Source organism: Homo sapiens, chromosome 6 (assembly GCF_000001405.40).
Source record: "Homo sapiens chromosome 6, GRCh38.p14 Primary Assembly".
NCBI lineage: Eukaryota > Metazoa > Chordata > Mammalia > Primates > Hominidae > Homo > Homo sapiens.
In genome coordinates this window covers 138,592,358-138,615,436 of record NC_000006.12, presented here as the reverse complement: position 1 = coordinate 138,615,436, position 23,079 = coordinate 138,592,358, and the positions used below count along the sequence as shown (strand labels likewise).

The 23,079-nt window shown below is 41.6% G+C and overlaps 1 protein-coding gene across 5 annotated transcripts in view, besides 2 other annotated features; it reads left to right on the top strand.

Moving 5' to 3' along the window:
* Window positions 1-23,079, top strand: part of NHSL1 (NHS like 1) — a 271,170-nt gene that overhangs the window by 77,776 nt on the left and 170,315 nt on the right. The gene's annotated exons all lie outside the window — the stretch shown is intronic.
* Window positions 21,833-21,902: an enhancer, noted in NCBI's record as "active region_25159". NCBI's record gives its function as "activates an Ori minimal core promoter by ATAC-STARR-seq in GM12878 lymphoblastoid cells {active_cell/tissue: GM12878}" and the evidence as "EXISTENCE:reporter gene assay evidence [ECO:0000049][PMID:35858748]".
* Window positions 21,931-22,225: an enhancer, noted in NCBI's record as "tiled region #8531; HepG2 Activating DNase unmatched - State 1:Tss, and K562 Activating non-DNase unmatched - State 21:Repr". NCBI's record gives its function as "activates a minimal TATA promoter and a strong SV40 promoter by Sharpr-MPRA in HepG2 and K562 cells {active_cell/tissue: HepG2 | K562}" and the evidence as "EXISTENCE:reporter gene assay evidence [ECO:0000049][PMID:27701403]".

Here is a 23,079-nt window from a genome sequence, read left to right as displayed (position 1 = left end):
AAAAAGGTGTTTCCTAAACTGGTGTCTCCATTCATAGATAACCTGAATGTCTTTTTGTAGCCAAAGAAGATTGGGAGTATGTGTATGAATAGAATCATAATTTCCACCAGCAAAATAGCAATGTTGACAACAAGGGGCTGGAAAGCAACATTGTAAACATATGATAAGAGTGCCTTGAACAAGCAACAACAAAATTTTCCTCAAGTTGCTTCCTGGAGGGTGTGGGCTGGAAGGCTCTCCTGGCTGGAGAGACAATACGGATGGATGGCACTGACCTGGCTCACGCCCTGCTGCAGCCTGTGGGGCCTGAGGTTTCCATAATTTTGCAAGCCGAGACCTGGGGAGGACTGGGCTCTCTCATTCTTTCCCATCATCTTGGTGTTTGTCTGAACTCAAATTCCAGCTTTGCCATTTGCCAGCTTTGTGATCTAGGGCAGTGGTCCTCAACCTTTTTGGCACCAGGGACCAGTTTCTTGGAAGACAATTTTCCCACAGACCTGGGGTAGGGTGGGTGGGTGGTGGTGGTTGTTTCGGGATGAAAGTATTTCAACTCAGATCATCAGGCATTAGATTCTCATAAGAAGCATTCAACCTAGATCCCTCCCATGCGCAGTTCACAATAGGGTTCATGCTTCTATGAGAATCTGATGCCGCCGCTGATCCGACAGGAGGTGGAGCTCAGGCGGTAATGCTTGCTTGCCTGCCACTCACCTCCTGCTGTGTGGCCCAGTTCCTAACAAGTAACACACCAGACTGGTACTGGTCCATGGCCTGCGGGTTGTGGACCCCCTGACATGGAGTATTTTATTTAAATTCACTGTGTCTCAGTTTCCTCGGTTGAAATGGGAATATGGGTAGTAGCTACCTTGTAGGGTCATTGAAAGGATTCAGTGGGTAACTTACTTAGAACAAGGCCTGCTTGTATAGTAAGCACTTGTTTCCTTGAGTTACTATGCAGCTGCAAGTAACAGATCCCAAACACCAGTGATTAACACTTGTGGATGTTTATTTTTCTCATGTAATGAGAAGTTCAAAAGTAGGCAGCCCAGGGCTAGGATGGTTTCACGAGGCCATCACCAGACTCCAGTATTTCCACTCAGCTTTCCTTAGTGTACGTTTGTCATCTCACAGTCACAAGTGGCTGCCTCATCTCCAGCATCATCCTTACATCCCAGCAGGAAGAAGAGGAAGGTCAGAGAGCAAATGGTGAGCACCAGCTGAATTGCCTCTCTTTATAAAGAGATTTCCTGAGAGCCTCACACATCAATTTCTATTTACATTACATTGGCCAAAATTATATCACATGATCTTATCTATAAGGAAAGAAAGGAAGTATAGTTTTTAACTGAGCATGTTATCATTCCCCCAAACATCAAGGCTGTTATTGGTAGTAAGGAAGAATTAGAAAAGGGATATTGGGTAGGCAAACCAGCCATGTCTGCTGCAGCACTCAATATTGTTACCATAGAAATTGTCCTTGAATGTGGCTGTCCCTAGAGATAGGAACCTTGCAGGAAGAAGGTTTCAGGATTCTGATTAGGAATCATGGAAATTTGCAGAAGCAGCAGCATTCACTTCCAGGCCATCCTGCACTAAATGTGGGCCGACGACTGACCCATTCTACATCTTTCTCCTGCTTTCTCAGCCTAATTCGCTTCCCCTCTCCTATTACTGCCCAGGGACTTAAATGTCTTATCAAATGTCCTTATTCTGTTGCCTGCAAATTCCAGGGTGCTTTGGGGGAACACCTGGAGGCAGTGGCAGTCTGGTGGCCCCACTAGCACTGAAGGCAGGATGCAGGGCAGTCCGTTTATCCGCAAGACGTGGGACTGGACAGGTGGCATGGCCATGGGGGATTTGTTCAGTTCCAGCTCTCCACTTGCTGCACTTTTTCCTCCTCTAATCGAACACTTAGGTGCACATACTCCCTCAGTTTTACTGGCATTCCATTCCCATGCTGCATGTTGACGAAATGAAAAAGAGCCTTTGCCTGCATTTGTCAGCAGGGGAAAACTTGGCTCACACTCTCGGACCCAGGCATGGTGTTTCCCATCTGTGGTGGCCATCACTGACTGGAGCAGTGTGCTTCTAATACACATCCGTCAGGGGTTCTAAGCTTGGGGAAGGGCAGAAGGCCAGATACCATCATCTAAAACTCCACCTCGATCAGAAACCGTGAAAACTTTCTCAAGATGGGCACAACTACCTAAAATGTTGGCTTGGGCTTTGTTATAGGCTGGTTCACTAATGGCCAATATTTTGGCCTGCAGTTAGTTAAAAGCATAATACCAGCCAACCTTGAGGCAGCGTTCCATACCTGTTTGCATCATTTTATTTCCACTCCAGAATCAGCAAACTTTCCATTAAGAAAATGGGCCTGGTGTGGTGGTTTCTTAGGGTTTGCTTGAAATCTTTTTCTACTTCCATTAGCTCTCAATACAGAGCTACTGCAAATTCAATAAACGATGGCTCATGATGAAGGCATAAATGCTTTGTGGTCCGACTAAGACTAAAAGTGGTATCTCCATGCCCTTTCCTTAAAAAAGAGATAGTGTTCCTCCATCAAAGAGATTTGTATCAGCAAGGGAAGTTAATTTTTGAAAAAACTAAATCATTTAGTGATATTTAAACTCCACAAACTCACTCATTTTGTAAAAGGAAGATAGATTTTTAAAGTTCACAAATAAAAGGTAAGTGCTACTGTGTCAGGTTAGTTAAAAGGGAAGATGATTGAGAGGGCAGTGTGTCATTAATTTTTGTGTGTGTGTATACAGAAGCTTTCTCAGAGAAAAACATTCAAATATTACAATTCTTCTTGACCAACCCCCTCCTCAGAGGTGACCAGTATTTTCACTCTCTCATGTATCTTCTAAGACTTTCTATGCATTTATATTTTTTCCATGGAAATTATCTTTAAAACTGTATATGGTATTATGCTGTGCATTATACAACTTTCAGCTTTTAACAATAGTATATCTTGAAGGTTATTACATACTGGTACATTTATACTTATTATTTTTCATTGCTGCATATACCATGGTTTTAATCCTTCCCCGGGCACTTAGTTGTTGCTAATGCTTTTGTTTCTGGCTTTGTTTTTTGGGTATTAAAATTACGCAGTTCTTGTATTAGTGTTTCTGTACATATGTGTGAGTGTTTCTACTGGATAGATACTGAGAAGTAAAATATTTGAGGCAAATGGTATATGCATTTCAAATTTTAATAGATACTTCCAAATTTCCTTCTAAAGTGGCAATACTAATATACCCTCCCATCAGCAGTATGTATACAAGAGTTTCAACTTACTTTTTTTTTTTTTTTTTTTTTGAGATGGAGTCTTGCTCTGTTGCTCAGGCTGGAGTGCAGTGGCGTGATCTTGGCTCACTGCAACCTCCGCCTCTTGGGTTCAAGCAATTTTCCTCCCTCAGCCTCCTGAGTAGCTGGGATTACAGGTGGCCATCACCACGCCTGGCTAATTTTTGTATTTTTAGTAGAGATGGAGTTTCACCATGTTGACCAGGCTGGTCTCAAACTCCTGACCTCAGATGACCCACCTGCTTTGGCCTCGCAAAGTGCTGGGATTACAGGCATGAAACACTGTGCTTGGCCTCAACATATTTTTTAGTGTCGCATTTATTTCTAGGTCTTTAGGCAGCCTTTATTTTTTTATTTTTATTTTTATTTTTATTTTGTGTTGGAGTCTCGCTCTTTCGCCCAGGCTGGAGTGCAGTGGCGTGATCTCAGCTCACTGCAAGCTCCGCCTCCCGGGTTCACGCCATTCTCCTGCCTCAGCCTCCCGAGTGGCTGGGACTACAGGAGCCCCTCACTGCGCCCAGCTAATTTTTTGTATTTTTAATAGAGACAGAGTTTCACTGTGTTAGCCAGGATGGTCTCGATCTCCTGACCTCGTGATCCACCTTCCTCAGCCTCCCAAAGTGCTGGGATTACAGGCGTGAGCCACCGTGGTGGCATGGCAGCCTTTAATGTTTACCTTTTGCATACATTTCTATTATATGGTGTGTTCTAGGACTACAGTTAGCACATACCTATTTAGTAATGCTTTACTTTGAAATAGTGGTAAATACGAAATCATTCCTATACCACTGAAGCAGCAGCAGCACACTGAGAAATTGTGTCACCTTTAAGTCTTTCTCCTTTAGTGAGGCATATGTGAAACACTATTAAAATGCTGCCTGTTGATTGCTATTTATAGTTGACACTGACGGTTTCCTACTAAGCATTCATCTTCCCAACCCTTTTCTTATTAGTAGAAGCCCCTGCCTCCTTTTTCTTCAGAAAAATGACCCCAATTCAGAGATGAATTGTTGAAATACCATTCTCCTTGCCACTTTTTTTTTTTTTGGAGACAGTCTCTCTCTGTCACTCACTGGAATGCAGTGGTGCGATCTCAGCTTATTGCAACCTCCACCTTCTGAGTTCAAGTGATTCTTCTGCCTCAGCCTCCTGAGTAGCTGGAATTACAGGCATGCGCCAACACACCCGGCTAATTTTTGTATTTTTGTTAGAGATGGGATTTCACCACGTTCGTCAGGCTGGTCTTGAACTCCCGACCTCAGGTGATCCACTCATCTCAGCCTCCCAAATTGCTGGGATTACAGGCATGAGCCACTGCGCCCAGCCAATAATGCCTTTATTTTCAGATGCAGGGAGGCCACCTGTCTCATTCTTGGCTTCTCTGGCTTTTGGAATAGATGAGTAAGTGTGGACAATTGCCCCAGGTCTAGCTATAGTTACCTATGAGTCTTTGGGTGGAACTATCGGGATAGGATGAAACTAACACAAAGGAAAATGGAGCTGAGAAGGAGTTCTGTGATCACCTGTTGTTTGCTTTCTTTTCTTTTTATATATATATATAATATATATATATTTTTTTATTATTATACTTTTAGTTCTAGGGTACATGTGCGCAACGTGCAGGTTTGTAACATATGTATACATGTGCCATGTTGGTGTGCTGCACCCATTAACTCGTCATTTACATTAGGTATATCTCCTAATGCTATCCCTCCCCGCTCCCCCCACTCCACTACAGGCCCCGGTGTGTGATGTTCCCCACCCTGTGTCCAAGTGTTCTCATTGTTCAATTCCCACCTATGAGTGAGAACATGCTGTGTTTGGTTGTTTGTCGTTGCGATAGTTTGCTGAGAATGATGATCTCTGGACTCTTCACATTTTGTTTGTCTTCTAAGTTGTGGTTTTAGTATTTGCTACTGAATGCCTAACATACTGCCTCCAAATCTAGCTTTTCTTGCTCCTCACGTTTTGGTTGGCTCGGAAGGGGACATTTTGGGATGAGGCATTGGTGGGGCCCTGTGGGAGCAAACAGCCAGCCTCTTTCTTGTGGAAGTTGAAACAGGTGGGGGTGTTATGGGGAAGAAAAGTGAGAATTTCCTGTAAACCCTCAGGCTTGGCAGGGGGCCTAAGATGCATCATGCAACTGAACACATCTGTGCCTTAAAATGGACATTTCATGGAAGGATGGCATTGATGGTAGTCACCATCTACTACTACAGCCATACTGGCAATATTAATAACAATGAAAATTATTGAGTATTGGTGCCTGCCAGGTGCTGTGCTGAGCACTTTACATTTATGATCTCACTTAATCTCTATAATAATGGTCTGAGATAGATGACATGGATAGCACTATTTTTTTTTTTTTTTTTGAGACAGAGTCTTGCTCTGTCTCCCAGGCTGGAGTGCAGTGGTGCAATCTCGGCTCACTGCAAGCTCTGCCTCCCGGGTTCACGCCATTCTCCTGCCTTAGCCTCCCGAATAGCTGGGACTACAGGTGCCTGCCACCAGGCCTGGCTAATTTTTTGTATTTTTAGTAGAGATGGGGTTTCACCACGTTAGCCAGGATGGTCTCGAGCTCTTGACCTCGTGATCCGCCCACCTCGGCCTCCCAAAGTGCTGGGATTACAGGCATGAGCCACCGCGCCCGGCCGGATAGCACTATTTTTTAGAGGAAAATGAAGTTAGGAAAGTTGGTCAAGGCCACATGGTCAGTTGTAATGGTGGGGCTTGAGCAGCCTAATTCTTGGGCTGTGCGTGAGCCCCAGCGGTGCATTGCCAGCTTTCCCAAGCAGCCTCGACTCTGCGTCTCACATTCTTCCTGACATCCACATTCCTCCATAGCTTTGGTCCCAGCTCACCCTTGCACCATGTCCAGCACCATTTCTATGAGCTTTGACCTATGCATTCTGCCCACCCTTGGAGGCCTAAGCAACATCCATTTGCTTGTCTGCCTTTCTTAGCCACTTTATTTGTAAGTAATATATTTATTGGGAACTCTCCAGCACATATTGTCTGTATCAGCATTTCTTAATCTTTGGGGATCGTGGACCCTTTACATAGGCATTATTCTCCCTAACAAAAAAAGTGTATATAGTGTATGCATGTAAATTTGCATGCAATTTCATGGAGTTACAAATACTCTGAAAACCAGTTTCTCTTTACATGCCTAGCATCTTCTAGTAACCAACAGAGTAGATGGGCAAGACAGTGGGGTTGAATGAAATGTTCCTGTCGTGTAAATGTCTTTCCTGTGTTTAAGATTTCTTCCTAATCCCCTAAAAGGGAGGGATGGTCTCAATCTTTGAATATATTTGTATATTATGATATAACTGGCACAGTTATTTGTCTTATAAATTATGGAGCTTTGTTTGTAGTGGCAGTTGAAGGAGGCCGCTCTGCTTTGTTTTTTGCCAAATTATTTTCATTACAAGTAACTGCAGTTCGTAGTTAGTAGTCATTGATCAGGAATTTTCTTTATGGGAAGTTAACTGGACAAAGTAGAAATAAAATTTTCAGTATGGATAACAAGTTTTATCAAACTTAATAGGCTCAAGAAAGGATTTTTGTGCTACAGATCCTACTGTATTATAATGATGCCTATTTTATAGAGAAAGCAGGAATTATTGAGTTCACATTGAGTTGAAACTCATTTTAAAATTTTCAACTCCATTTTTTATCTGTTTCAACTGACTTGGACATAGAGAACTTGAAAATGACCTAATTTCTTCCAAGGCCAACTGTTAAAATTCTGCTTCATGTATGAATTACAGCTTTTGTGTTTGGATTATTGGTGCTAAGATTTAGAATCTTGAGGCTATCTCGTTGGAAACTGACTTCCTTTATCTCAGAAATTACTCAGTATGAGAAACATGTCATTCAAAGTAATTTTCATGATTTTCTGACAGGCAGACATGTTAGTGCCTTTCAAACAGACTAAAGCCTTCATTTAGTAAGATTTATCCTCTCGCGAGCTAAAATATGTCCTTTGAGAAAGTGTTTTCTTGGTCTAGAATTCTTTTGTTGGGGCTCACTGTTGCAGAAGAGTGTTCCCTGCTGCGCAGTTCCGCTTGGTCCTGCAGCTAGACAGTGAGCGAAGCTGACAGGGTTGAAGGTTAGCATCCTAGGACTTGGGGGAGCTCAGCCCTTCTGTTGGGGTGCATGGGAATGCCACAGTGTCTCGTAGGAGGACCTCTAAGGTCCAAAAGAGGCATCCTGCTCCCTCCTTCTGTCACTTATCTTTGGAGTCTCAGTCATGAAACTTTTGATTCTGTTTCTTAGGAGGTATGAATTTGAAGACATTACAAAGCACCCATTTGGTCTCTTGAATATAATTCCTTGGAGTAGTTGTCCTTCTGAAACAGAAGCATTTAACTTCAAAGCCTCATGGGAAGGAAGGAAGCTGACAAGAAACCCCACTCCGATTATGACTCCTGGCGGTCCTTGCATGTATGAGGCATTGGCCACAGCTTTTGTTCTTGCTTTTGTTCCATGTACCACAACTTGTTTTTCTAGAATTCCCCAAGCTTTTGTATGCTGAAGAAAAAAATCAAACCATCACAATTTTAATCCTGATCATATTCCATCTCACTTCCAACTCAACTTCATAAAAACACGCACAGTTTTAAGGTGTGTTGTGCTAAATTGAAAATTACATTGCTATAATATTCTTTGTTTGCTTTTTTTGTTTATGAACCAGATGAAGTAGTTTGACCTCTCACTTGTTTCAAGGCTAATCTGGGTAAATACTTTTGTTTTTGTTTTTTTGGTTGGTTTTGTCCGATGATAGTATATTTAGAAATAATGTTCATAGCAATAAGGTCAGAGACTTGTAAGAGGGAGACTGACTGAATCATCTTTCTGTTGACAGCATTAACACCATAGCTTGTGTTCAGTGAATGGATGCATTTATTACTTGAGCACTTAAGAGTGTCAGGCGTGATGCTAATTTCCAGAGATCCAAAGTTGAGTGAATTGGAAAAGGGAAATAAAGAAGAGGAAATAATTCCCAAACAGTGTGGAGCATTACCTACAGATGCATAGGTTTTGATGGTAGCACCTGGGGGCACCTCCTCTTTGAGGATGTCCTATCTTAGCTGATTAAAGAAGTAGCATGGGGGCCGGGCGTGGAGGCTCACACTGGTAATCCCAGCACTTTCAGGAGGCTGAGGCAGGCGGATCATGAGGTCAGGAGATCGAGACCATCCTGGCTAACATGGTGAAACCCCGTCTCTACTAAAAATACAAAAAAATTAGCCAGGTGCGGTGGCGGGTACCTGTAGTCCCAGCTATTCGAGAGGCTGAGGCAGGAGAATGGCGTGAACCTGGGAGGCGGAGCTTGCAGTGAGCTGAGATTGCGCCACTGCACTCCAGCCTGGGCAACAGAGTGAGATTCTGTCTCAAAAAAAAAAAAAAAAAAGAAAGAAAGAAAGAAAAAGAAGTAGCCAGATGAAGGTGGGGTAGGGACACTGCCAGTCACAAAAAGCACGGAGGCAATAAATGGCATGATTTTGCTGGGGAATATGGGCACTGGGGACACAATGCTAGGTGGCTGGTGTCAAGAGACCTATGAAGTGGATCTGTGATAAGGGCCCTTGTTGTAGACGGCTTTGTAAAGCATACAAAAGAGATTTAATCCCAGCCTATTTAATTGATCAAGAATGACAAGGGCAATATGCCGAAGCTGCTGCTGATTCTGTAAGCTTACTAAATCAATAGACATTTTAAAAGTCCATCATCATGGATGCCGTGGGGCTTAGTATCATTTTGTTATTTTGAAATGTTGTGATGATAGTTGATGAAATTAATTAATCATACTCTATCGCAGATGGAAATGAGACAGTGGTAAGTTCTTTCTCTGTGGGGAATGAAGTATTTTGGTTGCAAGAAGAGGAGGAAGGTGCCAGGTCTTTCCTCTGCAGCCTCTTCAGGCCAGAGGAGCCTGTGTGGGTTGTGATTTGTGGGTGGCTTGTCATTCTGTGGGTGGCAGGCACAGCAGGGGGCTGTGAGAATGCAGGAACAACTTGTATACACAAAGCACTTTGCAGTTTTGTGAAGCCCCTTCATCCATGTTATTGATTCTGAGCTCACAAAATCCATATTTAAAAAGCAGAACAGCAAACCTCTCCAGTTATTCCTATAGTTGAAGTTCAGAGAAGTTAAGTGAGCTGTTCAAGGATATGCAATTAGAAATCAAAGGATATTACATAAACCCCAAATTTATGACTCTCGTACTCACGCACTTTCCACATTACCACACTTCTGCCTTGCTTGATAGCTATTCAAGAGACCTGGCCATTTTCCTCTCAAAACTACAAGTAGTTCCCTTCAGCAGAGACACTATTGAGTGAACAGATTCTTAACAGTGTAGAAACTTACCTTAATCAGATGAATATGGTGTTGAGTCTGTTCTCTGAAAGCAAAATTATTTTAATCATATGATGCTTCTCTTTGATGAATTGTTGCCTTTATATTTGTGCCTGATGTCTTAGAAATAGCTTTCAAATCAAAGTCGTGGTGGGTAGACACAATATGAGTGAAGCTGGAGCTAGAACAGTTTTAAGATAGCTGACACCTTTGTCTTTTTATGCTTTGAGCTGATGAAAATCTGTTCCATTTTTGACTGCCACAGTATTTTAATTCTGGTAAACTTTTTTTTGTGGGGGGTGAGAATGTGAGAGTTTATATTTTTATTTGCTTATATGAAAAGGTAATTATACAAAAAAGAAATTAGCCAGGCCTGTTGGCGCACGCCTGTTGTCCTGGCCACCCGGGAGGCTGAGGTGGGAGGATTGCTTGAGCCCAGGAGGTTGAGGCTGTCGTGAGCTGTGATAATACCACTGCACTCCAGCCTAGGCAACAGAGCAAAACCCTGTCTCAAAAACAAACAAAAAAGGTAGTTAGATGAGTACATGCGAAAAATGGTGAAATCCAAGTCAGGTCCGTTGTCTAGTTAATTGTGCTTCATGCCAGTCAGTTTTCTGCTTTTGATAATGCAGTGCAGGTTATGTAAGATGTTACTGTTGGGAGAAGCTGAGTGAGGAGTGTACCAATCTCTGTACTATTTTGGCAATTTCTTGTGAGTCTATAATTATTTCAGAAGAAAAGGTAAAAGAAAAGTAATTAGGATATGTCAGTCAAGTAAGTCAGATATTTTCCTTAAATTTGAAACAATTTGTCATGACTAAATTGTAGTGCAGGCTGGGCGTGGTGGCTCTTGCTGTAATCCTAGCACTTTGGAGTCTGAGGCGGGCGGATCACTTGAGGTCAGGAGTTGGAGACTAGCCTGGCCAACATGGTGAAACCCCGTCTCTACTAAAAATACAAAAATTAGCCAGGCTTGGTGGCACATGCCTGTAGTTCCAGCTACTCAGGTGGCCGAGGCATAAGAATCGCTTGAACCCAGGAGGCAGAGGTTGCAGTGAGCCAAGATCACGCCACTGCACTCCAGCCTGGGCGACAGTGTGAGACTGTCTCAAAAAAAATTATTTTAAATAAATAAATCATAGTGCAAATAACATACTCATCATTCATTCATTCATTCACCAGATAATTGTTGAGTTCTTTACTTTCTGCCAGGCATTATTTTAGTTGCAGAATCAGAGAGCTGTGCCTTATTGTAAGAGGTTAACCAGAAAGAGCCTTCCCTCCTTGCTTCTTAGTTGTAGAGCAGGGCTTCTTAACCCTAAGCTGTGGATTTTAGGGATAGCATTTGTGTTTTCTGCAGAAAGTATCCTTAGTGTTCGTTAGATTTTTGAAGTTTAAGGACTGCTGCCTTAGATGATTACTTCTCATACATGGCTTTTCATGAATACAGGGAAGCCTCTGGCATTCTGAATGCATTAACCTTCTGATTAATTGTCTTTGGGAAACTTGAGCTTTGCAAGGTTCCTATCAAACTTCTTTATTTTTCTTTTTAGTTGACTGATGGGAAAGGTGTTGGATACTTAGAAACAGTTTGACTTCTGAAACAAAAATATTTAGAGCTACTTAAGTTGATCCATGTTAGCTCTGGGTGGTCAACTCACTTAGCAAAACTTAACGCTGATGATGAAGCTTCTAAAATGTTTTCGTAGGAGCTCTTGTGTAAGTGTCATACTGAACACTGTATTGGTACTGAACACATTTTTATTGCCCCATCCATTCCAAGGGGCCAATGTGCCTGACACATCTCTTTTATTCAGAGTCTGTGTGGTGTTTAAAATTAGTTCCAGGTAAGACTTAAAATTCATGATATGTTTTACACATTCTCTCTTTTATATGTGGTTGGTACAGGTATGTGATTTTTCTCTTAAAGAAAAATGAAAACCAATCTTAAACTTCCATCAAATTACATTGCCCTGCAACTATACATATTTTCCTTGGTAGCATTTAGTGTACCTGACATGCTTCTGTTTTAAAGGGATGAGATGCTCTTAGAATAAGAGACTTAAAGTACGAGAAGGGGAGTTTGGACTAAAATAAGTCTGACTATATCTACAATAATTTATAGTGGTAATTTTCAAGTTTGTCTTCTGTCATTAGACTTTGAGCCCCTTGAGGGCAAGGCTGAGCTCATTTATGTCTGTTTATTCCTCGGCTCCTAGTATGGGATCTAGCAGCCTGTAGGTGTTCAGGAATTGTCTGTTAAAAGACCTTCAAAACACTATTTACAGGTACCACCAAACCTCATAGTGCTCACCCAGGAATGCATGGGAAACCTTTACACTAATCAAAGATCCCTGTTGGCTAGAGCACTGTGTGTGGTGGTGTTTTTAAAATGCTCAGAATCCAGGCTGACACAGTTGGCTCATCCCTGTGATCCCAGCACTTTGGGAGACTGAGATGGGTGGATCGCTTGACCTCAGGAGTTCAAGACCAGCCTGGGCAACATGACAAACCTCATCTCTACAAAAAATAAAAAAAATGTAAAATTTAAAAAAACCCCTCAGAATCCTCAAATGGTATAAATAATCCCCTCTCAATATACTCTTTGGCTTTAAAAGCTTAAAACTGATAGTTATATTTTGGCCATTGCTTAAGTAGCTAATTTTGGGAGTGGAAGGTATCTTCTTTCCATAAAAGAAAACCAGCAAACAACAATGTGAGCTGAATTAATTTTTGTTTATAATGTAATTTCTCTGTTTGTTTGGAGGGCTTTTTCTGTGGGTGCTTCATAGATTTAGCCATGATGATTTCCATTTTAGATTTATGAACTGTCCGGGAAGGAATTCTGTTTTAATTTGTCACAACACCACAGTCCCTTGAAGGCATGGATTCTTAATGCATCTGATGAGGAGAATGTAATTTTAAACACTTACACCTACCAATGATGAAAAGAACAAAAGGCATGCTATATTCAGTTCCAAGTGGATTCTCTTTATCCATGGGAAATGATAAATGCCCCATATTGTTGGGAAAAAAAATTAGATGAAACAAACATTTGTAAATCTAACAAAATTTGCATTTCCATGGAAACTGAAATTAAAAATACAATAACCGGCTGGGCATGGTGGCTCATGCCTGTAGTCCCAGCACTTTGGGAAGTTGAGATGGGCAGGATCGTCAGAGGTCAGGAGTTCGAGAGCAGCTTGGCCAACATGGTGAAACCCCTTCTCTACTAAAAATACAAAAATTAGCTGGGCGTGGTGGCAGGAGCATGTAATTCCAGCTACTCCGGAGGCTGAGGCAGGAGAATAACTTGAACCTGGGAGATTGAGGTTGCAGTGAGCTGAGATAGTACCACTACACTCCAGCCTGAAGACAGAGTGAGACTCTGTCTCAAAACAAAAACAAAAACAGAAAACAATAACCGTATTTGCACATAAGAAAGGAAATACTTAGGTATAAATCTAATGAAACATACAAAATCTGTATGCTGAAAATTACAAAATGCTGATGGATAAAATCAAAGACGTGAACACATGGAGAGACATATCATTTCATGGATTGGAAGACACACCATAGTAAAGATATCAATTCTCCTGCAAATTATTCTATAAATTTGACACAACTTTTAGTAAATTGATAGTGATATCAAAATAACAAGCTTAAAAACATAAGCCTGATATTTCATCTTCACATCTTAAAAATCCCAGCTTAATTAGTAGTTACCATTTTTCTGTATGCTGCTATCTCATTGTAGTCCTGTGAAATAATGATAAACTTATCGGCTTTATAGGTTTGCAGTCTGATAGATCTTTCAATGAAAAAGTTAAAGTGTGTACATTTTCTTATTCTTTAGCCTTAGTTTTTTGTTTTTGTTATTAAATAAATTCTTGAGTTTTTGTGATACTGTTGCTGGATTTAAGAAAAACTTTTTTTTTCTTTTTTGAGATGGAGTCTCGCTCTGTCGCCAGGCTGGAATCCAGTGGCGTGATCTCGGTTCACTGCAACCTCCACCTCCCGGGTTCAAGCGATTCTTCTGCCTCAGCCTCCCGAGTAGCTGGGACTACATGTGCGTGCCACTACACCCAGCCAACTTTTGCTTTTTTAGTAGAGACAGGGTTTCACCATGTTGGCCAGGATGGTCTTGATCTCTTGACCTTGTGATCCGCCCGCCTCGGCCTCCGAGAGTGCTGGGATTGCAGGCATGAGCCACCGTGCCCGGGCAAGAAAAACTCTTATAATCAGTATTAATCATTTTAGATTCACCTAAGAGTAAATTTTTTAAAATAGTACTCCTCTTGTATGAGTTTTCTGCATAACAGGTGCAATTGAGCAATAGCCACACAAGTGTCTAGGGATGGTGCTGAATGTGTAACAAAAGGTTAAAGGGTTTTCTAACAGATTGCCAGCAGTGTTTTACATTTCCTGAATGATCTAAGTGTTGGTTTAGCTTGGGACTGGAGAACATAACAGATTTAAAAAATAACAATGAATATGGTTGCTATGTCAGAATTAAAGAGTTATTTAAATAAAGTCAGGCCAGGGAGTATAATCAAAAGATTCCCAACAATCCTGGTGAGTTTTACTTTAGAAGAAAGTTCTGGGATAAGTGATTCAGATTTATAGTGGAACCAGATTTTATGTTCATTTCTTTCCAGTTAATCCAGATTCTATTTTATACATTTAGTACCTTAAAAAGTAAATGAAGGGACATACATTTGAATGGAATCCTTTGTTTTCTATTGAATTTAATGCTTTCATAATCATTATGAGAAAATACTTTCAAATGATTTACACATGATTTAGAAATGCAGGCAGCCCTTTCCAAGTGGTTATTGTATTCTGACACACAGTGATTTTTGTAGATATATCATGTTACAGAATGAAGTGGCCATTTTTGTGGGATGAATTTTCTAAAGAACATGTTGAAATATTGGAGGTTAGGGTTATTTTAAAACATGAGTTTCTTCTCTCACAAATTAAAGTGTTTGATCCCTATAATTGCCAGACTATAAGCTCTAATAGGGATAGTAAGATCTAAGTGTTGGTTTAGCAACGACATTAAGAAAATTTTAAGTATAGCTCTGAATTTAAAAGGTATTAATATTATTTTTCATTTAAATTGATAGTAATTTCATGAAAAACAAATGGCTTAAACCCAGGGAAGCAAGGATTATAATTGATTTTTTTGAGCAATGTTCTCTTTTGGTTACAAAGTAAAAGGTAAAATAAAAGTTTAAAAGCATTTGGAAAGAATGTTCTTTGGTTTTTTCACTCAGTAACCTAAAGTTTAATGACCCTTTACAGTGCTGATAAACACTTAAATTTTTGCAGTAGGCATTGCTAGTTCAAATTGAAGGAAGGTTGCCAGGCTCATGCCTATAGTCCCAACTACTTAGGAGGCTAAGGCAGGAGGATCCCTTGAGGTCAGGAGTTCAAGGCTGCCATGAGCCATCATTGTGCTACTGCACTCCAGCCTGGGCAATAGAGTGAGAACTGGTCTCGAAAAGAAAAGAAAAAGAAAATAAAAGAACAGAAAAGAAAGCACTGAGTGGACCTTAAAATACCTCTGTGTTGCTTCATTTTAATTAATTAATTAATATTTTTTTTTTGAGATGGAGTCTTGCTCTGTTGCCCAGGCTGGCGTGCAGTGGTGCAATCTTGGTTCACTGCAACCTCTGCCTCCTGGATTCAAGCAATTCTTCTGCCTCAGCCTCCCTAGTAGCTGGAGCTACAGATGCATGCCAACATGCCCAGCTAGTTTTTGTATTTTTTTAGTAGAGATGGGGTTTCACCATGTTGGCCAGGCTGGTCTCGAACTCCTGACCTCAGGTGATCCACCCGCCTCGGCCTCTCAAAGTGCTGGGATTACAGTCATGTCATGAGCCACCATGCCCGGCCTGCTTCATTTTAAAGGTACTTCATTCTTCCTTGTATCCTGAAATCTCTCAGCACCAACAGGGAAGGCATTTAGGTGACATTGGAAAGTTACTTTCTGATGCCTTCTATAGGTACTAAGCTGACCCTGCCTGAGATCTTGCCTTGAGATCTGATTGGACTTAACTGAGCATTTGTGATTTGATCATCTTAAGGTATCTCAAGCACTGAATGAGAAACTGGAAGTTTCTTGTGTATCTGGGTTATACACTTGGTCCATTCTAATTTCAATAGCACCATTATTTCTGCATATGTTATATAAGGAGAAAAAGACCTTAAAGAGTTCTAAATCTTTCTGTTTTTTTTTGAGACGGAGACTTGCTGTGTTCCCCAGGCTGGAGTGCAATGGTGCAGTCTCGGCTCACTGCAGCCTCAGTCTCCTGCATTCAGGTGATTCTCCTGCCTCAGCCTCCCAAGTAGCTGGAATTACAGGCACCTGCCACCACACCCAGCTAATTTCTGTACTTTTAGTAGAGATGGGCTTTCACCATATTGGCCAGGCTGGTCTCGAACTCTTGACCTCAGGTGATCCACCCACCTTGGCCTCCCAAAGTGCTGGGATTACAGGCATGAGCCACTGCGCCTGGCCTTACATTTTTTTATATTGTACTGGTTACCATAAAACACTAAATTATGTAGAATTTGTTTTGAAAAAAATATGTAATAGAATCCAAAACAATTAGGTAGCTCAGAATGTTTTCTTAGGTTATACTCTGTGCCTGGGTCAAGAGGTAACAGACAAATAGGATCCAAATTTTACAGCTAGATGACTTGGACACACAGAGAGTAGGTGACTTGCTGATGATTAAACAGGGAATCTGATGGATCTCCAGGCCCTAAGCTCTGACCTTGGACTCTTGCACTTTTTGCAGTCTAATGTTTAGAAACATATGGGTGAACCTGAATTAAAGAGAAATACATGTAAGTCCATTTACTTTAATTTCATTTTCATTATTGTACTTAAGAGTGTGAGGATGCAGTCGTCTTTGAATGAAGGCAGCATTCAGTATTAGTGGGATTGTTTAGCTTCACCCACCCTACCACAAAGAGATGAGGAAACGCTGGACGTTGTTTTAGTCTGGTCAGCAAATCCAAATCTATGAGCATTGTGGAGAAAGGGTCTATGTTCACATATATTTTTAGTAGTTCTTAGAAGAAAGAAAAATGCTGCTTTTTTTTTTTTTTTTTTTTCTTCCAGATGAAGTCTTGCTTTGTTGTCCAGGCTGCTAGAGTGCAGTGGCATGTTCATGGCTCACTGCAGCCTCAAACTTCTGGGCTCAAGCCATCTTCTGACCTCAGCCTCCAGAGTAGCTGGGGCTACAGGTGTGCACCACCACATCTGGCTATTTTTTTTTTTTTCCAAGATGGAGTCTTGCTCTGCCACCCAGGCTGGAGTGCAGTGGCGCAATCTTGACTCACTGCAACTGCCGCCTCCCAGGCTCAAGCGATTCTCCTGCCTTAGCCTTCCAAGTAGTTGGGACTACAGGTGACCACCACCATGCCCGGCCAATTTTTGTATTTTTGTAGAGACAGGGTTTCACCATGTTGGCCTGACGGGTCTTGAACTCTTGGCCTCAAGTGATCCATCTACCTCGGCCTCCCAAATTGTTGGGATTACAGGCGTGAGCCACCACGCCTGGCCTAATTTTTTAAAAAATTATTATTTGTAGAGATGGGGTATCTCTACAATTATTTGTAGAGATGTTGCCTGAGCTGGTCCTGAACTCCTGGCTCCTATGATCCTCCTGCCTCGGCCTCCGAGAGTGCTGGGATTATAAGCATGAGCCACTGTGCCCTGCCAAAAGCTGATTTTTAAGGTGGGGGACAGTTTCACCTGCACCGCCTTCTCTGCTGGAAATCATCATCAAGGTCACTGATGACATTATCATCGTCACTGGGGAAGTGCTGGCATAACCTGTAGGTCAGTGCTTCTCAGTCATAAGAAATATTTTTATTATCTTTTTTCTACCCTGAAATGAGTATCACATAGCCAATATAATACATCTATTCATGCATGCTTAAAAAGTCAATATAATGTCCTACCTGCAATGTAAGGAGAAATTAAAGAAGGCCATTTTTACCTTTTCATATTCATTGCTCACACAAAACTGTACTTACTGGAAGATGGAATGAAACCGTTGGATGCTTACATGTGTGTGGAATTACCATGATGAAAAGCTAGTGACTCAAACACTACAAGCGGTTAGGTGGTCAGTGATATGATTTTTCAGAAATGGTGAACAATTCCTGCCAAAATTCCAAAGTAAGCAAGGAGTCTACACTAGAATAACCAGAAACGAACAACATGTACCCGGGACCTGGAAGTGAGGCGTGTATGGTGATGTTTGATTTGAATTTTGGACTAAAGTTCCGTGATGATTAATAGCACAGGCAGCCAAATGAAAAACTTGTCAAATCAATAGTTACGTAGATTTTACTATTAAAAGGAAATAACAGTATCTGAGATGGAATTAAAATTTCCAGGCTCCTAAAATCATTTCCTGTAAATTCTTTGTTCTTTAGGCTATATGACACCAGATCAAAACTTCGGAAACTAACCAGCCATTTTTATGGATTGATGCTTCATATGCCAGCACTGAATTAGGCTTTTGTATTCTATTCGCTGTTTGCAGGTCTTAACTTTTTGTTTTTCTTTTTGAGACAGAATCTCACTCTGTCGCCCAGGCTGGAGTGCCGTGATGTGATCTTGGCTCACTGCAGCCTCTGCCTCCCAGGTTCAAGCGATTCTCCTGCCTCAGCCTCCTGAGTATCTGGGATTACAGACATCCGCCACCACACCTGGCTAATTTCTTATATTTTTTGGTAGAGACAGGGTTTTGCCACGTGGGCCAGGCTGATCTCAATCTCCTGGTAGGTCTTAACTTCTGATTGCAAGGCGGGAACCCTGAGCACTTCAAACTCTGCTTGAGAGAGTTTTTCTGTCACGCTTAACTCACGCAAGGTAGGAATGAATAATTTGCTGCTGCCGCTGCCTCTAGAGACTATTTTAAAGGATTATCTCATGGAAGCTTTCAGAACTTCCCCCCCACCCCCGCCAATTGAATGTGGGTGAGAAACGGACGTGAACTTAAAAAACTTACCAAGCTTGGTTCACCTCTCAGGAGCAGGTCTGCTTAAATTAGCTGCATTGAGCTCCTCGATGTCCTTTTGCGGCGCTGCTGATTCTTTCAAGAACCTTGGCTACCTTGCCAAATGTATCACTCCTTTATAATCTTAAGCGTTTTAACAAATGAAATACAGTTCAGTTTCTGCACTTGGTTTTAAATGTCATGATGTGTCTCAGCAATCCACTTAGTCCATCAAAATCACATTTTGACTTGTCCACATAATCCTTTTAGACTGTTTCTGGATTTATTAAGTGCTTTTTCATGCAGTTGATGAAAAAGCTTTCATTTTAAAAATAATTTCCACATGACGCTGGAGGCCTCCCATTGTAGTTTAACAATAGTTGAGATGTTGTATTGTTTATTCAAAACTGCCAAGTAGCGTCAGTGCTGGTGGATGGGAACCCTGGATGGAATGCTGGGAGAGCCCTGGGGAGGTAATTTAACCTCTTCGTTGTTCAGTCCTGATGTCCAGTGGGTTTCAGCAGCGTGTCTAGGTTTACTCCATTGCCAGGCAGAGGTAGATTCTGCCTCCTCTGCCCCTTTGCATTCCTTGGATCGACCATTGACTACTGGAAGGCATTCAGACCATTACCTTTCTATGCCTTTTCCTTTGCATAAGACCTGCAAAGGAAAACATACTTTCATCCTGGATATTTTTTGGTTTTAGCTTCCAAGTAGGGTTTATGGCCTTTTTTTCTCTTGGGGTTGGGAAGAAGGGCAGTGTTGGAGAGGAAGAGACCCAGAAACACCACCATGCTAATAATAAGGAGGAGAAAGTCGGGCCATGTTGGAGTCCCTCTGCCAATTATACAGATCGTGGCACATAGGTGCAAGGGTGGCATGGCAACCTCTGGACCCCTCACTTTCCACTTTCTCTTACCCATTGTCTCCATAGGACTCAGCGTTTTGTTTCCGAAATCTTTCAACTTCACCTGTATGCTGTGCTATTCTTACCCATTCATTGTACATAAATATCTTTTCTGCTGATTAAAAAAATTCAAGAAAGGAAAGAGGGAGAGAATCTTTTTATAATTGATTCCAGGTTACCCTATGATATTGAAGTTATTGAAATTCACTTTTGTAAAAAAGACTTAATATATCTGTTTTAAAAAAAGAGATAGGGTGTCACTCTGTTGCCTAGGCTAGAGCACAGTGACAGGATCACAGCTTACTGCAGCCTAGAACTCCCGGGGCACAAGTGATCCTCCCACCTTGGCCTCCTGAGTAGCTGGGACTACTGGTGCTTGCCACCACAGCCAACTAATTTTTAAATATTTTTTGCAGAGACAAGATCTCGTTATGTTGCCCAGGCTGGTCTCACACTCCTGACCTCAAGTGACCCTCCTGCCTTGGCCTCCCAAAGTGCTAGGATTACGGGCATGAGCCACTGTACCCAGCCTATATCTTTACTTTTAACTCTCTTCCTCTTCTTAGTGGCTGGTCCTTTTCCTGACATATACTGCCTAGAGACTGTATGCATAAAATAGCTTAAGTAAATATTATTTAGAAAGAAAATGGTTTTCAAAAAATCACTTTTTATCTTCTGTAGGTGATTGACGTACTTAGAAGGCCTGCAGAGGCCTACACCCTGTGATGTATATTGTACAGTAGGCTTGGCTTCAGCATAGTGGGAATCTCTGGTTTTGAATTTCTAAAGTGACTTGCAAAGGTCCAAGACATATAGTGAAATGTTGAGTTGCAAATTAGGGTCATGTGCTGGATGGGGCTTGTGCTGGGGAACAGGGTCTGGGCTCACGTGTGAACCAGCAGCCAGCTAACCACAGCAGGCGGCCCCTGAACGATTTTGTGGTGCACTCCTTGTTTTAAGCACTTTGCTCCTTTCAAAGTACATTTTTCTTTCTTTGTGAAAATCATCTAGAAAAGAAAAAGTCCACTTTTGAGTGAGTGATACAGAGAAATCTGTAAACTTGGGGTCTCATTAAAATCTTGCTATGTAGCCCTTTCCTTGTCAGTGTCAACGTGCTCAATTTAAAGTACACACCCTCTCAATTATTTGTCTGTTGTCTAGCTCTTCCTAGGAAGCAGAAGAGTGGTTTTCAGCTCTCGGTGCTGCTTATTGGGGATCGTATTGTATTTTGTAGATTTGGCAATGGGCCCATACATCTGTGGAGTGAAAAGCTCCCTAGGTGATTCTGATGTACAGCCATGGTCAAAAAACATTGAAATAGACAAGTGCATGAAGATCAAAGAGTTGAGGGAAAACACTCAACGATGTCACGTCAGTCCCCAAGAACAGGTACAGGGGCTGTTTTTGCTTAGAGCCGGGGAGGAGTTGCAGAAGCCCCGCGAAATTGGCAGTCCTATTGGCAGTAAATTAAGCTCTCAAGGATTGAGTTCTACGTAGCTTCATTCTCCCAAATGACTGAATAGATACTCCCACCTTGTCCTGAAATAGTTGTGAATGAGAGTCTAACTGTTCTTTGCTACTGAATACCAAAAATACTAGTACTTTAGCCAAACCCTTTCTCTGTTGCTTAGAAGCTGCTGAATCAGTGTAGTGCATTTCTCCTATTTTATCCACATCCCCCAACCACATAATTAATGTGATCAAAATAAACTGACCCCCACCACATCCCTGGAAATTTACAGCAACATTAGCATGTCAAAGGCTGGGAAAGTCCTGTAGTGAACAAGACAAAAAACCTTTTAAAAACTTTGTTTGCCCTAAGCTTATTTGCATAGGAAGATACTTTTTGCTCCTATACCTACAACTGAACAGTTTTTCCTTAACACCAGTTTGGGAAAAACTGCCCAAGTCACTTTTTGATTCAGCAGTTTTCTTAGAGTTAATTTCTGACAGCTGAACCTCTCTTTAAAATCCTCTTTGAAGTTGGACTGAATTAACAAATGGAAGGCTTGGCAAAGCAGTTTACTAATTCATAACTCTATCCCTCAGCTTTCTTTGTGTTGCTAAATACTATAATCTTTGACCCGAAAGGAAGAATACTGCTAACAAGTAAATATTTAAAAGGTCCCATGAAATATAATGTGCATGAGTTTGTGCCTGGGGAGACCGTCTACTGGAAGAAAGAAATGACTCACTTTTCATCTCCTAATGAAAGTGAGTTTGTTGTTTTACAGTAGGTTGAAAGGAAGTATTTTGAGTGCTAAGGGCTAGATTTCCTTTTATTTTTAAGTTTAGTTAGCCGTTGGCCTCACTGATTTGAGAATTGCATGTTAAGTCATAATTCCTAAGTGCGTCAGCACTCTCTCTCTGTATGAGTGAATTAGCATGATTGTGAATGAATGAACTCTGTGCTACCAAAGCCCAGCATTTGGAACAGTGAGAGGAAACGGAAACGTGACTCACTGATGTACTTGAAGACTATGAACGGGGAATCACGAACTTCAGAGCCAGACCTGAAGCATGGGAGAGTGGGCAGAGCCTGGACTGGGGCAAGGACAACGGGATTCTAGTCCTAGCAGTGCTCCTGACTGCCTCCGTGTCAGTGCTGGAATCACAGAACCCGTCTACCTCCTGTGATTAATAGGACATGTGAATTATTTGTCACTCGGATCCTTTACAGTTTCAGGATTCAATAAGTCTTTGAATTCTACTGATTCTCTGGTTTGTGTGGAAGTGGGTGTGTATGTTTTAATGGCTTTCAGATGGGATTCATCCAGGCTCCATTAAATCAACTTTATTTTTAATTTTGAAGTGAACTGCCATGACAGAGTTTGGCTAGGAAAGTCCATAACAGAAAATGAGGAAGCAAGTAAACTGATTTATAAGGCTGTGGGCAACTGACTTCCTGTGGCTGTGGCATTTGGTATATAGAATGATATATATGTGATGCTTTTGGAGAAAGGTTAATTATTGTCTACAGGCAAAATTTTTGCTCCATCACAATTGCTTTTAAAAAGCTGAAATAGCAGCTCCTAGCCACCCTGTTTCATATGTCTTACGATATTTAGAAAATATTTAGACCAGCCCACTAAAATATATCCACACACCTTTTTCCTTAAGGGCAATTACCTGCATACTTGTCAGTTTTCACTCTTTAGTTCTGGATATGTAGGGGTTTTTTTTGTTGTTGTTTTTTGTTTTTTGTTGTTTTTTGTTTTTTTGTGCGACAGTCTCGCTCTGTCGCCCAAGCTGGAGTGCAGTGGAGCAATCTTGGCTCACTGCAGCCTCCACCTCCTGGGTTCAAGTGATTCTCATGCCTCAGCCTGAGACTGTAGTAGCTGGGATTACGGGCGCCTGCCACCACCCCAGCCAATTTTTGTATTTTTAGTAGAGACGGGGTTTCCCCATGCTGGCCAGGCTGGTCTCAAACTCCTGGCCTCAAGTGATCCACCCGCCTCAGCCTCC